The 16,425-nt window shown below is 41.4% G+C and overlaps 1 protein-coding gene across 1 annotated transcript, besides 1 other annotated feature; it reads left to right on the forward strand.

Annotated features, from left to right (window-relative positions):
* The first annotated feature begins 4,569 nt into the window (after positions 1-4,569).
* OR4D2 (olfactory receptor family 4 subfamily D member 2) lies at positions 4,570-8,704 on the forward strand. The gene is made up of 2 exons (NM_001004707.4): positions 4,570-4,641; positions 7,226-8,704. Exon 2 carries the CDS (start codon positions 7,244-7,246, stop codon positions 8,165-8,167), a length of 924 nt encoding a protein of 307 aa, NP_001004707.1. The 5' UTR covers positions 4,570-4,641; positions 7,226-7,243; the 3' UTR covers positions 8,168-8,704.
* Positions 13,883-14,083: a silencer, noted in NCBI's record as "peak2916 fragment used in MPRA reporter construct". NCBI's record gives its function as "represses an SCP1 promoter by STARR-seq MPRAs in K562 erythroleukemia cells {active_cell/tissue: K562}" and the evidence as "EXISTENCE:reporter gene assay evidence [ECO:0000049][PMID:32103011]".

Below are 16,425 nucleotides of genomic sequence, written 5' to 3' on the forward strand. Positions count from 1 at the left end.
ACTATAGTATGATATCACAAGGATATTAACATTGATACAGTCAAGACATAGAACAGGAAAGTTTTTAAAATCCTACCATTAATATCCACAAAAGATAAGTCACTGTATTCATAAAACAAGATTAGGATGCTATTTTAGAAGGGTACAATAAGAGGATGAGAAACAAATTCTTGGAAATTAAAGATATGTTTTGGTATACTGTATTTTTCTAAGATGACCACATCAATATCTTCCATTTCACATGCTCTTCATTACAATATGAATTTCACAAAGTGGGATCTTTGTTTCCTACCCTTGAATCTGGAAGGGCTTGTGATCTTGGTGGAAGTGTCACCATGTAACCTCTGAGGATAGGTCGTAGAAGGCAATACAGACTCCAATTAGTTCTCTGTGGAATGCCCACTCTTGGAAGCAAGCTACTATGCTAGGAAAAAGCCCAAGTAGCCACATAGAGAGGCCATTTGCATTTCTATTAATATCTTGATTGACCGGCGTTTGTCCCCAGGTAGGTTTTTCAAGAAAGATTTATGAGAACTATATTTTCTGAATTAAATATTTGAAACAATTTATCTGTTGTTTTTATATATAAATGACAATTTCACTGAATAAGCATCTTTGGATAATACTTTTTATTTTTCTTAGGTCTTTGTAGATGTTCTTCCGTTTTCTAGGGCTATTGAGAAGTTTGAAGCCAGCCTTCTTCTTATAGATGGATTCATCTTTTTCCATGGCAGCTTTTAGGATTCTTTCTTTATCTTTGGAATTCTGTAACTTTATTCAGTTCTGTTGTAGCATCTGTTGACATTTATCACATTTCCTGGCACACAATCTGCCTTTTCAATCTATTGATTCCATTTATTTCATTTTCAGGAACATTTTCTTGAATTACATCTTTGGATATTTTTTGCTCCAATTATTTATATGTCTTCTTCAAGGACATCCAAGTATTAATTAAACTGATATTCTTTGTCTATATTTCATGTACAAACATACACACACACTTCTTACTCATCCTTTTAAACTTTTGCTCTTTTCCATTTCATTGTGTTTAGTTCTCTTAAGCCTGCCTTTCAGATATCTTACTGTATTTTAAGCAGTGACTATTCTCATTTTCACTGTTTCCATTTTTTTGTGATGATTTTATTTTCTTCCTATTCTTTTTTCCTGATCTCTGCCAGTTACGTTTTCCATCTCTGTTTTCATATTATCATTCAATTCTTAAGATTTAATTATTCTGCTGAGCTCTTAATAGATAGAAGTTTGATTCATTTTTTTCTGAGTTATCTACATTCTTGAAAAACTTTTCAATAAAAATTTTCTTCTCTATTCTGTTCTGTGCTCTTCACCTGCCTTCTTTCCTCCTTTTTGACCTATTTTTTATAGACTCTGCAAGTTGCTTTTTAATTATTACACATTCTTAAAGAAGCAATTTGTTTAACTAGTTATGTGTTAAAATAAAAAGTGGTGGTGATGGTAGTGAAGACAGGCCAGGGAGTGCTCTGGGTTAATTGTCCTGGGCTCACAGTGCAGCACTGAACACTGAATGATAGAGGCATTTGTGTGTTTGTGTGTGTGTGTGTGTGTGTGTGTGTGCGTGCGTGTAAATTTAGTCTATCTCTTCAGCTGGTAAAGATCAGCAGCTGCAGGGGTGCCCATAGCCCACAGTTTCTCTATCTTACTGGATAGTGCAGTTATAAATGTGGCATAAGCCCAGCCTCTCAATCCCTTTTTGGTGTTTAATATCACTTAAGGAAGCTCTTGCAGCCAGCCTGTGTGCCCGGATCTGGTCCATCCACACAAAGGTGGTTGTTTTATCTTCATTATATACCACCTACTTAGGAGCCAACTCTGCCAGCATTGTCCAGGAGTTGTTGTGGGCAGAAGCCTCTCTCTCTTCACAGTACTTGATAGTCCTTCATGGTTCATTTTGGGTTTTGTTGTCATCTGAGTTGTAAACATGTCTTAATTTTATTGAAAGTGGAATTTCTGTTGCCAGTGAGGAAGAGAAAAATAAAAACCTTTGTTTTCTTATAACCAGAAGTCATTTATTCATTTAATTTTTTAAAAGTTGTCTTGGGCCACTTTTTAGTTTATAAAAATCTTACTTTTATATGATTCAGAATATCAGTTCTAAAGGTAATATACAGCACAGAAAAGCTGCTTATAATCTACAACACTGACACAAAGGGAAGGAATATAAGTAAAATTTCTTCCAGATTTATCTTACACATGGTTAATCCACAACACCAGGTGCTTAATTGAATTTGTTGAATATGCCCCCATTAAAATGAATATGGCTATATTTATGAGAATTTATGCCTTTAAGACATCTCTTACTGAGGCTATGTTCTCTGAGAGAGAGAGAGAGGAGAGAGAGAGAGAGAGAGAGAGAGAGAGATAAAGGTATTTATTGCAAGGACTTGGCTTACATGATTGTGAAGCTGGCTAGGCAAGTACGTAATCTGCAGGGCAGGCCATCAGCTGAAGTTGCTGTCTACATGCAGAATTTTCCTCCTTCAGGGAAACCTCAGTTCTTCTCTTTAGTTCTTTCAACTGATTGAATCAGGCACACCCAGATGATCTAGGATAACCTCCTTTACTTAAAGTCAACTGATTATAGACATCAATTTTATCTACAAAATACCTTCACAGCAACACCTAGATTAGAGTTTGATTGAATAACTGGAAACTATAGCCTAGTCAAGTTGACACATAACACAGACCATCACAAAGGGAGAATGATTAATTATCAATGATGCTGGGCTTCCTGCATGAGAATTTACATGATATTTCCTCTACACGTGTCCTGTATCCGTTTAGTGGCTTGACATTATAATAGTAGCTAAGTCTGACAAACATTTATTTTCTTAGAAATGTGATACATATAGAAATAATTTTCTCAGCTCAATTTTCCATGACTGAGTCTTTAGCATAATTACTCCATCCAGGCCATTCATACACTGGCAACCATTATACTGGCTAGTGGTTGCAGTAAAGATGAGCTTTGATGGACATTTTACGACCTACCTGTACTTTTGACAGGGGAAATATATAAACTGGAACCTACCAGGTCTCTATTACTGAAAGCTAAATCGGAATCATAAAGAATTAATCCAGGTAATTCAAAATCACCCATCTGAGAGTCAATAACATTAACAAGGCCTGTGCCCATCCCCACCATCAATCTAGACTACTTTCCTGAGTGGCTCAATTTTAAAGTAGACTAAAGCTCCAAATAATGGGAAGAATTTGTGTTTTTTTTAAATTGACATCTCTTGTATGTGAAAGAACGTCACTTCGTGTTCTTATCCCCAGAGGCAGAGTCTTTATTTTGCCAAGTATAAACATTCGCAATGAAAGAACTCAGACCAACCTGAGAACCTCACGTGGATCAGAGAGCTGTGAGAAATCACACAGATTTTACAGCACATCAAGCTTACAGTGTTGGTTAATTCCAATTTTTAATCAGTTCCTCATAATTAGAAAATATATGGGCTTCTTGTGCCAATCCTTGTATTAAAGGGAGTAATAATTGACATGTAAATAATGCTAGCACTTTGTAGATGGTGTGAGTATAATTGATATGGGTAGTGAATCAACTGTGGGGGTATTGGTTGACAAGATGAAGAACAAGATTTATGGGGTAATTAAGTTTTCATTTTAGTATGCAGACATTTTCCCATCCATGACGTTGCCTATGTAAAGATCAATTCAGTTTAAAAGGAGAAGAAATCAAACCAGTTACCTTGACAACACCATGAAAGAGAACTATCCATTGTGCTGAAGAGCAAGTCGTTGGTTCTCAATGTCTGGTCCCTGGAACAGGTGCATCAGCATTATCTGAGAACTTGCTACAAATGCAAATTCTTGGTCTTACCATTGATGTACTGAATGAGAAATTCTGGGCTGGGAACAGAAGTCTGCCTTTTAACAAGGCCTTCAGGTAATTCTCTCAAGGGTAGGTGTCACTGGTCTAAGAAAGAAATTCTCCTAAAACTCTCAGAGTCTCCTTTTTTTTGAAGACCCTCTTGTCCTTTTGGATCTTGGCCTGAATATTACCCATTCCTCAAATCTCTAAAATTTTCAATGTGCTTGGTACTTTGGGCCCCCCAAGGAAGACCTCTCAAAGAGTGTGTGCTTTTGAGACATTTAGAAACTTTTTAACAACTCCCATTGCTCCCTTGGCCCCAGTGATAATCAGCCCAGCTCAGCTTCCTGAGCCCTGTCCAATAGTTTCTCCCAAAGGATATTCCCCCTTCCCCTGGGGTCTCACCCATGGTATTATTCATGAAGTAAGGGCAGGAGCTAAGAAACTGTGAGGCTGAAGCAAAGGATCTCCAAGAAGATGTACACTGAAGCCCCATTCTGGGCTAAAGGGAGGTGAGAGACCAGTGTTTCCTCAGCTGCACAGAGATCAGCTGTAAGAAAGATCTTGCAACACCTGCTAGAGGGTGGGAGTAATAAGCAAGTGACATAGACCTGACGATAGTAAGTCTAAAGGATGAGCAGAGACTCAAGAAAAACTGCAAGGGGAATGTGATGTTGAAAACGGATGCCTCCGATTACATAGGAAAACAACAAAGCACAGAATTCGCCCTATGAGACTTAGAGGGAGGATGCTCACAGCAAAGGACATCAACGGTGAGGAAAATCACAAGATTCTCGACATTGTCACATAAAACAAAGTCACATTTACCTGCTAATATATTAAGTTGGCAAACATTTCTGAGCAAGTGCTAAATCAGAGATGCTGTCATAGACTCTGGGCTTACTAAGTTATTGAATTTACAATCTAGTTAAGAGAAGCAATAGAAAAAATGATAAATGCTATAATGGAGGTATTTATCAAATGCTATTGGAACACAGAGAAATAAGGAATTAATTCTGCATGAGAGAAATGGGGGGAGGAGTCAAAGGGAAAGTGATATTTCTCTTATCGCCTCTAGGTTGAGAAGGTAGCAAAAGGCATTTCAGGAAACAGGATTTATTACCAAAGATATGAAAATAATGAAATATACTGCCTACATGGAAGCTATGAGTTCTTTGAACAGCAATCAGTTCCCAGGTGACAGTGATACTGATTAGAAAGGTATAGGGAGGCTATTTTTTATAGTCTTGTATGAAATGCTGAGAGAGAGTTGCATGCACGTATGTAGGTATGTTTTTCCACCCTCAGTTTATCCACAGAGCATTTTAGGTGGCTTCTGAGAGTTTGAGTTTTAAGCTGTGAGCAAATCAAATATTATAACAATGAGGAATATGATCACATCTGAGTCAGAGGGGTCTCATGGACAGCTGTGTAGAAGGTGTCCTGGAGTGAGGCCAGGCGCGGTGGCTCATGCCTGTAATCCCAGCACTTTGGGAGGCGGAAGCGGGCGGATCACGAGGTCAGGAGATCGAGACCATCCTGCTAACACAGTGAAACCGTGTTACAAAAAAAATTAGCCGGGCGAGGTGGTGGGCGCCTGTAGTTCCAGCTACGCGGGAGGCTGAGGTAAAAGAATGGCGTGAACCCGGGAGGCGGAGCTTGCAGTGAGTGAGCCGAGATCGCGCCACTCCAGCCTGGGCGACAGCGAGACTCCGTCACAAAAAAAAAAAAAAAAAAAAAAAGAAGGTGTCCTGGAGTGGAAGTAAACTGAAGGAGCAGAATAAGATTAGAATGACCTATAATATTGTAGATAATAGATTGCAATAGGCCAGGTAAGAGAGGGTAAGAGAGATTGAGACAGGGCAGGGGGAGGGGGGAGACCACTGACCCCCTCCCCTGTCACCCTCCATCTTCTTCTTCTTTTTTTTTTGTTTTTGATTTTTTGAGACAGAGTCTCGCTCTGTCACCCAGGCTGGAGTGCAGTGGCATGACCTCCACTCACTGCAGCCTCCAACCAGCTTCAAGCGATTCTCCTGCCTCAGCCTCCCAAGTAGCTGAGATTACAGGTGTGTGCCACCACGCCCGGCTAATTTTTTTGTATTTTTAGTACAGATCCGGAGTTTCACCATGTTGGCCAGGCTGGTCTCAAACTTCTGACTTCAAGTGATCCATCCGCCTCCGCCTCCCAAATTTCTGGGACTACAGGCGTGAGCCACCTCTCCCGGCTCCTCCATCTTCTTCTGTCCCTTTAGTCCCGTTTTCTCCACCTCCCCAGCACTTTTCCACTTCCTTTACCTTCACTTGCTCTATTCCTTCATCTCCCTTTATTCCTTTGTCTATTTCTATTTGTTTTCTTTCAACAACTTCCTTTGTCTCCCACCCTTGGATTCAGTAACATCTTGTAAAATTCCTGTTTCATTCAGAAGCTCTCTGAGTCCCCTTCATACAATATTCATCATCTATTTCTCAATCCAATGACTCTCCCTCCCTTTTCTCCCTCTTGTCTCAGCACCACCACATATGCCTCACTCATAAGGGGCCGCCCACAGTGGAGGGCAGGGGAACTACTGGATGTCTCAGGCATCCAGCTGCATCCAGTGTCTTCCTTGTGCTGAACTTGTGCACCTGATAGCTATTCACCCATGCAGCAGTCAACACCAAGAGCTTTTTAAGTTAACTGTCATTAAGAATGGGTACTGCAGGGCACAAATAAATTGTGAGATCCAGATATAGGCTTTGGACTTAATAGTTGAATTGTGGAGGGAAAATATAGACAAGGAAAATCCATTAACACGATGATGTATTAAATGTCATGTGAAAAATAATTGGCAAAGAATCTTATTACAGAGTGGAAGAGAGGATATCTTTAGATTAAGAGAATTCACACAGGTGAGTAATTGCCATTGATTATTCCATACACTGTTTTAGGAACTTTATATCTATCATTCTACTTAAGTCCTCAGAAAATTCTACAAAGCAGGTATTTTTATTTCTACCTTACAAATTCCCGTGAAAACTGAGGCCCAGAAAGATTAAGTAAGTTACTCATGGTCAAATCACAATGAAATGAAAGACCTGAAATTTGACTTCAGATGTATCTGACTCCAAGTGTCTTCCCACCACTATATGAATCTTTGAAAGGCAGGTTGTATATACTTCTGGATGGCGTTAAGATTTCAGGAATGTATATTCCAGCACCCACTTGTAAACGATCCAGAGACAAGACAGCACCTAGTATAATGGTCTACACATAAGGATGCTCATCATATGGGCCTAAAACCTTGGTTCTGAGCCCCTGAGCCCTGAAAGGGAAAGTAGTGACTTCATGTATCTGTGTCTGTGGTTCATTTTCTTCAGGTGTATGGAGAAAACACCATGGAAACAGGGAACCTCACGTGGGTATCAGACTTTGTCTTCCTGGGGCTCTCGCAGACTCGGGAGCTCCAGCGTTTCCTGTTTCTAATGTTCCTGTTTGTCTACATCACCACTGTTATGGGAAACATCCTTATCATCATCACAGTGACCTCTGATTCCCAGCTCCACACACCCATGTACTTTCTGCTCCGAAACCTGGCTGTCCTAGACCTCTGTTTCTCTTCAGTCACTGCTCCCAAAATGCTAGTGGACCTCCTCTCTGAGAAGAAAACCATCTCTTACCAGGGCTGCATGGGTCAGATCTTCTTCTTCCACTTTTTGGGAGGTGCCATGGTCTTCTTCCTCTCAGTGATGGCCTTTGACCGCCTCATTGCCATCTCCCGGCCCCTCCGCTATGTCACCGTCATGAACACTCAGCTCTGGGTGGGGCTGGTGGTAGCCACCTGGGTGGGAGGCTTTGTCCACTCTATTGTCCAGCTGGCTCTGATGCTCCCACTGCCCTTCTGTGGCCCCAACATTTTGGATAACTTCTACTGTGATGTTCCCCAAGTACTGAGACTTGCCTGCACTGACACCTCACTGCTGGAGTTCCTCAAGATCTCCAACAGTGGGCTGCTGGATGTCGTCTGGTTCTTCCTCCTCCTGATGTCCTACTTATTCATCCTGGTGATGCTGAGGTCACATCCAGGGGAGGCAAGAAGGAAGGCAGCTTCCACCTGCACCACCCACATCATCGTGGTTTCCATGATCTTCGTTCCAAGCATTTACCTCTATGCCCGGCCCTTCACTCCATTCCCTATGGACAAGCTTGTGTCCATCGGCCACACAGTCATGACCCCCATGCTCAACCCCATGATCTATACCCTGAGGAACCAGGACATGCAGGCAGCAGTGAGAAGATTAGGGAGACACCGGCTGGTTTGAGAGTGACAATGGTAGGTTTCTTCTCTTTGGCTTTGTTTTCCCTTTGTGAAGTGGAGAGGGAGCTACTACCTTTGCTCTCTTCATAGTGTGTTGAGGTTCATCATAGCAGGGAATGAATTTTGAAACTAAGCAACTTCGTGTTTTAGGAAAAAAGAAAGTATCCTCTTTGGTGGTTAAGGTTTGTGATAAAGAGTTTTAACACACTCGCAACAATGAGAATTGTTCACATGGCCCCTGAAAACCACACCTTCCTTTTCACCTTCTTGGTGGACAGTTTCCTGTTGACAGCATTTCCCCTGTGCGAACATTTCTATTTTCCGTATTTTGAGCTCTCTTCCCAATATTTCCTTTTGGTGTGAGTCTGGGTTGTTGGGAACAGCACAGAATTTGGAGTCTTAAGCTCTAAATTAGAGGCCCTGACCCATCATTGACCAAACTGATGACTTCGAGTAAGCCACCCAGCTTTTCTTGGCCTCATGATTTCTCCCTCACCAATTTGCTTAAATTAGTATGTGCCCCTAAAATATTCTATGTTTGTTATGAGATTCAAATAAAAAAATTTTGTGATAAAACAACAAGTAAATCATATAACTATATGTTATCTTCCAAGCTTTTAAAAATGATTGTATTTTATTTTCAAATATGAAATTATTATGAGTATTCAAGCTTTTTCTCTCTATATTTACATTTTAATATAATATACAAATTTTGAATAAAAGATCATGGGCAATGCATGCACATTATGAAACTTATGTCATTATGTATAAATGCTCATGTATACACTACTCGATTCAAGAACCAGAAGTTACCAATAACTTGCCTTCACCTGTATTGTCCTCTCCATTGTGTTCACCTTGATTCCTATCCAGAAGAAATCACTCTGTTGAATTTCATGTTTATCACTTCATTGCTTGTATAAAATAGTTTCATCACTTTTTTTACATAAACAGTATATTGTTTTGCTACTTTGGAGTTTTATAAAGATATTGTACTGTACATAATATTCTGGGATTTGCTTTTTTCACTCCATGTTATGTTTCTAACATAACATGTTGATGTTTGGCTCTAATTCATTCATTTGCTCTGCTGTAGAATATTCCACTGTGAAAATAAGTTTATTTGGGTTGTTTCCAGGTTTTGGCTATTGGAGAGTGCTTTTTTTGAGACGAAGTTTCACTCTGCTGCCGAGGCCGGAGTTCACTCATCACCACACCCAGCTAAGTTTTGCATTTTCAGTAGAGATGGGGTTTCTCCATGTTGGAGTTGTGACCATTATTGCCTAAACTATTTTTACTGCGCCTTTCTCTCCTCTTCTTCCAGGATTCTCATTATGTGTGTGTCTTGGTATCCTTGATGGTGTCTCACAGGCTTCTGAGCCTATGTTCATTTTCGTTTATTCTTCTTTTTGCTCCTTAGACTGGATGATTTCAATTGACCTATAATATCTCTAGACCTCTGATTCCGAAATGCCATCATAGAGGAAAATTGGATTCACTCCCCGACTTCCACAGAACCAAAAACAAATATATAGCACTGAGATCTACACCAGAAACAACCCAGAGCTCAAGTATAAGAGTGAGACAGTTCTTGGGGCCACAGAGGGATGAAAAAAGTCCAAGCAGCTGATAGGAGAATCAGACTTCCACATCTGGGACACCCCTCATCCCCATTCTGTCCAGCACCAAGTGCCAAAAAATCTCCTCCCAACTACAGTTTCTACACTGGAAAAACTGAAATTGAGGTGGCCCACCAGCTTCCTTACCTTCTTGGGGTCCCTGGCAGGAGAACTGTTCTTGCCTTAATCCACAGATAGCATCATGACTGCCTGAAAGAAGAAATGTCCCCGAAGAAAGGCAGAGAAATTCTGCTCTGTAACTCAGCCAAAGGAGACACCAACTCAGAGTTGCTGTCCAGCAGCACCATGCTGTAGGAGGCATGTTCCCCAGGTCCCCTGGGCACAAACCCCTAGCCAGACTTCCCACACTGCCAGGATAATCTCTTTGGGATCTCCTTGATTTGAGACAGGAAGTGCTTCAACCATTTACTAGTCCTGAGGTGAACCTGGGCTTAAGGCACCACCTAGAGTCGAATAGAGGCAGTGACCTAGCAGTGAAGATTCAATAAGCAAATGTATTCAATAAAAACCAAAACAAGCTGTACAGAGAAAACTGGAAAGATGGATACATACCCACAAGAAACAACAGCAAACAGGGAACTATGACTTCCTCAAAAGGAAAAAGCAAAAATCCAGTCACTGATCCTAACAAGATGGTGATTAGTGAGCTCTCTGACCAAGAATTCAAAATAGGAGTTTCAAGGAAACTCACTGATCTCCAAGAAAACACAGAAAAGCAATTTAGAAATTTAACAAAGAGACTGAAATGATTCCAAAATGTCAAACAGAAATCTTGGAACTCAACTAACCTATCTTCAGATTCATTGATTTTATTTTTATTTTTTAAGACAGTCTCACTCTGTTGCCCAGACTGGAGTGCAATGGTGTGATCTTGGCTCACTGCAACCTCCGCCTTCCAGTTTCAAGCAATTCTCCTGCCTCAGCCTCCTGAGTAGCTGGGGCTACAGGCGCGTGTCACCACACCCAGCTAATTTTTGTATATTTAGTAGAGACAGGGTTTTACCATGTTGGCCAGGCTGGTCTTGAACTCCTGACCTCGTGATCAACCCGCCTCGGCCTCCCAAGGTGCTGGAATTACAGGTGTAAGCCACCAGGCCCAGCTGATTCTTTCTTCTACCTACTCGAAAGCTCCTATTGAAACCGTCCTGTGAACTTTTCATTTCAGTTACTTTTATTGTACTTTTCAGCTCCAGACTATTTCTTATTTTAAATCAATTTCTCTCTCTTTTTTGATATTTTCTATGTAAAACATTCTTCTTCCTTTAATTCTTTACCCATAGTTTACTCTATGTTCAAGAAAGTTGCTTTAAAGTCTTTGTCTAGTTAAGTCAAATGTCTGTTTTTTCTCAGGAAGTTTCTGCTAATTTCTTTTCTTCCCTTGAAAGGGCCATACTCTCTTGTTTGTTTGCATGTCTCATAATATTTTGTGAAAACCGCACATTTTAAATATTATAATGTTGTAGGAGTGGAAATAATTTTCTTCCTGCTCCCTATTATTTGTTGTTTTTTCTTGCTGTGAGTTGCAGTTGTTTGTTTAGTGACTTTTAAAACTTTTTTTTTTGTCAAATATGGCCTCTGAAATCTGTTTCCTTAGTTCATAGTCATCTAATGGCTTTACAGTAACTTTGTTAAATGCCTGTAGACAAATGATATGGCTTGGACCTGTGTCCCATGAAATCTCATGTGGAATTATAATCCCCAGTGTTGGAGGTGATGCCTGGTGGGAGGTGATTAGATCATGGGGATGAATTTCTCACGAATAGTTTAGCACCATCCTTCCCTTGGTACTGACCTTGCAATAGTGTGTGAGTTCTCATGAGATCTGGTCATTTAAAAGTGTGTGGTGCCTCCCTCTTACTCTCTCTTCCTCCTGCTCCAGCCATGTGAAGTGCCTGCTCCCACTTCACCTCCCACCATTATTGTAAGTTTCCTGAGGCCTCCCCAGAAGCCAAACAGATGCCAGCATTATGCTTCCTGTACAGCCTGCACAATCATGAGCCAATTAAACCTCTTTTCTTTATAAATTACGAGTCTTAGTCTCAGATATTTCTTTATAGCAATATGAGAATGAACTAATACAACAAAGAAATGAAAAAGAAAGAAAATATACTCTCCCAGTCTTTCCAGATTGGCTCTGTGTTTGGATACTCCCTCAACACTTAACAAGGATGTTTACAGCTCTGCCTTAGCCTTCACTTTCTGCTTGCATTGGGCCTAAAGATTAGCCAGAACTTATATCTTAGGACTGTCCCAAGTCTGTGTTTTCATCCTGCCCTTATATGCAGAATGTGGCATTCTAGATTTCATAGTATATACAGGAACTTTCCAAAGTTCTTATTCACCAAAGTATCTCTGTTCCTAACTTTTCCTCTCAAGCTTTTGGTGTGTGTTTGATTGCCCCAGGTGGCAGAGGCGTGCTCATTTGATTTTCAGTGTTTTTGAGGAATACTTTTTACGTAGCCACTTTTCTGCCCATAGTGAATTCTGAGTTAGGTAAAACAAAGGCAAGCTCCTCACATCAGTCCTTCAGGAACCCCCAGACATTTCAAAACAGACAATACAATCCTAGGGAACAAGGTTCATTCTGCTCCTTCCGGAACCAGGGACTCACACCAGGAACATACATTGCCATCTTCAAGACCACCAAGCTGGGAGGAGTGTGGAACAACAATAAGTTAAAAGTTTTCCTACTGTGTTTCAGTCACCTTTTGAAACAAAGTTCATTTAGTTGCTATTTGACTATTTTCTTTGACAATTTTCCAGAATTCCAACAAGGTTGATTCTGATCACTTCTGCTTTTATTTTTTTTTTTTCCTTTCTATGGAGAGATGAGCCCTCGGATTCCCAGACTGCTATTTTTATGACATCATCATATTTAAGATAATAATTTATGTAATTCACTTCTCTATGCAACCAGTCTTTCCTAGTCACTCCATATCTGTTTCCATTCCTTCACCAGATACTTTCCTCACTCCGCTTGGGCTCTGATATCCTGCTTCAGGCCAGCGCCCTTCCCAGCCACTTTTCTTACCCCACACATGCTCCAACATCCCACATCAGGACACTTTCCATGCTCCTCCTCATTTTGCTTGAGCTCCAACACCTGATGTCCAACTGCACCTCTGTGTGGATGCATTTCTTAGCCCTCCCATGCTCTGACTCCCCATAGTGAGTCAGCCCTTGCTGGGATACCCTCTTCACCTTGCTTTAACACCCACAATGGGCAGCTCACAGGAGTAGACACCCAGGCTCTGACAACCCATGCTGGGCCACATCCTATGGACACCTTATTCACACTATTTTTGTTCTACATTAAGAGGAGATTTCTCCAACTCTGATTTCCAACATTTTTATTAAAGTTTTTATTTTTTAAATCAAATTTTAGTTTTCAAGAACTCTTGCATGTTCTCCTTTTTATGCCATTCTATTCTTATTTTGTGGATATTATATTTTCTTTCTTCTCTCAAATGATACTAATTTCATAAGCTGAAGTTTTTTTAAGTTCTCTTTTGCTTTCTGTGTCACTTCTGTTTTCTTCTTATTTATTTATTATTTTGTACTGGAGACCTTTCTTAAACTCTCAGTGATCTTTGGTTAGCTACATTTAAGAGTAAGGCAATAAAATGCTGATTTGAACCTCTATATATGGGAAGAGTTTTCAAACTTTACTTTTTTTTTTTTTTTTGAAACAGGATCTTACTCTGTCACTCAGGCTGCAGTACAGTGGTGCAATCATGACTTACTGCAGCCTTGACCTCCTGGACTCAAGTAATCCTCCCACCTTAGCCTCTCGAATAGCTGGGGCTACAGGTGCACACCACCATGCCCAGCTAATTATTTTAACTTTGTTAAGAAGTTTCTAAGACTCTCAAAAACACTTACCATTAGAGAGGTCTGCCAAGGACATTGAAAATCACAGAGATCTATGAAATGTAGGATAAGCAGGTCAAGATCAGAAAGGACAAAAGTATCCTCACAAGAAACAAATTTTGGAAGGACCTGTTGCAGTGCACACTGGTTCACGTGTGTGAGCGTACATCAGAATCAACCGAGAGGGCTTGCTAAAACTTGGAAACCCAATGCAGAGCTTCTGATTTAATAGGTCTTGGGTAGAGCCCGAGAATATGCATTTCCAGCACGTTGTTGGGTGATGCTGATATTGCTTATCTGGGGGCCACAGTTTGAGACTGCTGATTTCAAGTTTCGTTGTGCTGTGTTCTTCAGCACAACGGACAGCTCTCTCACACAGCACCAGAGACAACTTGTTTGATTTCTTTAAAAAAAAAATTTTTCAACTTGGGCAATGTAATAGGTGGGGAAATGTTTGTATATTATATTGGAAACTTAAATCCTCTAAACTTTTTTTTTATTCTACCAACCAGACCCCAAGGGCGATTTCTAATCCATAACCATTTTTACAGCACCATCTGTAAAATTCTGTGCAGCCAATAGGGGTTTCTTTTTCTGTGAATTTAAAGACAACAATTATTAAGAATGGATTTTTATGATCACCATGCTTGAGCAATGTTAGAGATAAAATACTCCTCCTTGCCTTGTGGATTTGCTCCCACCGCCCTGCCGTTCACGAGCTGTGTGTGTGTGCTGCAGAGGGGATCTGAGTAAGCAAGGAAAGAATCAGAATTGGATGGGTGAAGCCCAGAGGCCTCCTGAGAGAGGGAAGCATGAGGAGTGGGGAGAGGGGCTCCATGCCCTCTGACTGAACAGGTGTCAATCAAGCAGCGAGACTGCGAGTGACCACTGAGGTGAAGGCTGAGGGGGAGGAGGAGTTTGAGCTGGAGCCCAGACTCTGATGACAGGGAGTATACAGGGGGAGCCCCTGGACAGCCCTCCAGGAACTCGGAAGTGGGGCCCATGGGCTGTTAGGCCTGGCCCCACAGCTGACAGAAAAGCCATGAAGACCTGGAGCCTGGCTGCTTTGCAGTGAGAGCTCAGAGGGAAGGAGATATCGCTTTCTCTTTTCCTCCTCCCCACACCAACACCAGGCAAGAGGTGCTGGAAAGAAGGAGGAAGAAGTGTTAGAGAGCAGAGTCCTGCACCACCAACCACGCTCCACCCTCGGAGGCCTGGGCCACAGCCTCCCAAGTTGAGGGACAAGGTGGACTTGGAGTCGAATGTAAGAAGGGCATTTTCACTAAATAGGACAGTCTTAAAAACTGGAATGAAACTGGTGACTATTGAAATAAAAGTGATGAAAAGTGTATAGGACTGGACTGAGCTGCTGTGAAGGGAGAGAGTCACCCAGCAGGAAAGAGGGGTGACAAGGCACCGTTGGGAGCAGTCTTGAGAAAACAAGAATTTTTTGTTTGTTCCTCAGTGAGTAGCAACACCTTGTTACATGGATTACAACGTGTTTCTTAAACCTGAGTAATATGGGGAAAGATAAAGAAATAAAAAACATATTGAGGACTTCTACTGCTGACTTAAAATCTTTTTGTGATGGTATGTATGTTCAAACACAAAGCTATGTAAAAGTTTCTCATTCTTCTCTCTTCTGGGACCACGAAAGCAAATAAATGTACACAAAAAACACAATTCAGGCCAGGCGCGGTGGCTCACGCCTGTAATCTCAGCACTTTGGGAGGCTGAGGTGGGTGGATCACCTGAGGTCGGGAGTTCGAGACCAGCTTGATCAATATGGAGAAACCTCATCTCTAATAAAAATACAAAAATTAGCTGGGCTTGGTGGCGCATGCCTGTAATCCCAGCTACTCGGGAGGCTGAGGCAGGAGAATCGCTTGAACCCGGGAGGTGGAGGTTGCAGTGAGCTGAGATGGCACCATTGCACTTCAGCCTGGGCAACAAAAGCGAAACTCTGTCTCAAAAAAAAAAAAAATTCACTAGCAACAGATTTATACGACTGATCTGGGAATGTTTTTGAATGTGACATTTTCATTCTGCCACGTGTCTTGTGTTTTGACTCAGTTTCCCCACCACTTCGTTTTGCATTTGATCCTTCCTTCAAACAGTGCTGAAGGCAGCAAAGCATTATGTGTAGCATTTTTTAAAGAGGCAGGACTAGGCCGGGTGCAGTGGCTCATGCCTGTAATCCCAACACTTTGGGAGGCCAAGGTGGGTGGACCACTTGAGGCCAGGAATTCAAGACCACCCTGGGCAACATGGTGAAACCCCGTCTCTATTACAAATACAAAAATTAGCCGGGCGTGGTGACAGGCACCTGTAATCCCAGCTACTTGGGAGGCTGAGGCCAGAGAATCGCTTGAACCTGGGGGTGGAGGCTGCAGTGAGCCGAGATCGTGCCACTGCACTCCAGCCTGGGTGACAGAGCAAGACTCTATCTCAAAATAAATAAATAGGCAGGATTATTTGAGGCCAGCTGTATTGTAAACCCAATTACAAACCTGGACACTGAAATTGTGTGACTGTACTTGTTTAAAACACACACACACACACACACACACACACACACACACACAGAATTGTTTATTTGGATTTTTCTATGCTTAGTTGAACACGTTAAAGGGACTGTGAGGTCAAGCACTATCTACAGACCAATGTTATTCTTATTAAGGGCCTCTCCTTCCAGATCATAGTCCTTCATCCTAGGCTCCTCTGAAGTGGTATGATTGGTTGTGTTAATGGT

The sequence above is a fragment of the Homo sapiens genome, chromosome 17 (genome assembly GCF_000001405.40).
Source record: "Homo sapiens chromosome 17, GRCh38.p14 Primary Assembly".
In the NCBI taxonomy this organism is placed as follows: Eukaryota; Metazoa; Chordata; class Mammalia; order Primates; family Hominidae; genus Homo; species Homo sapiens.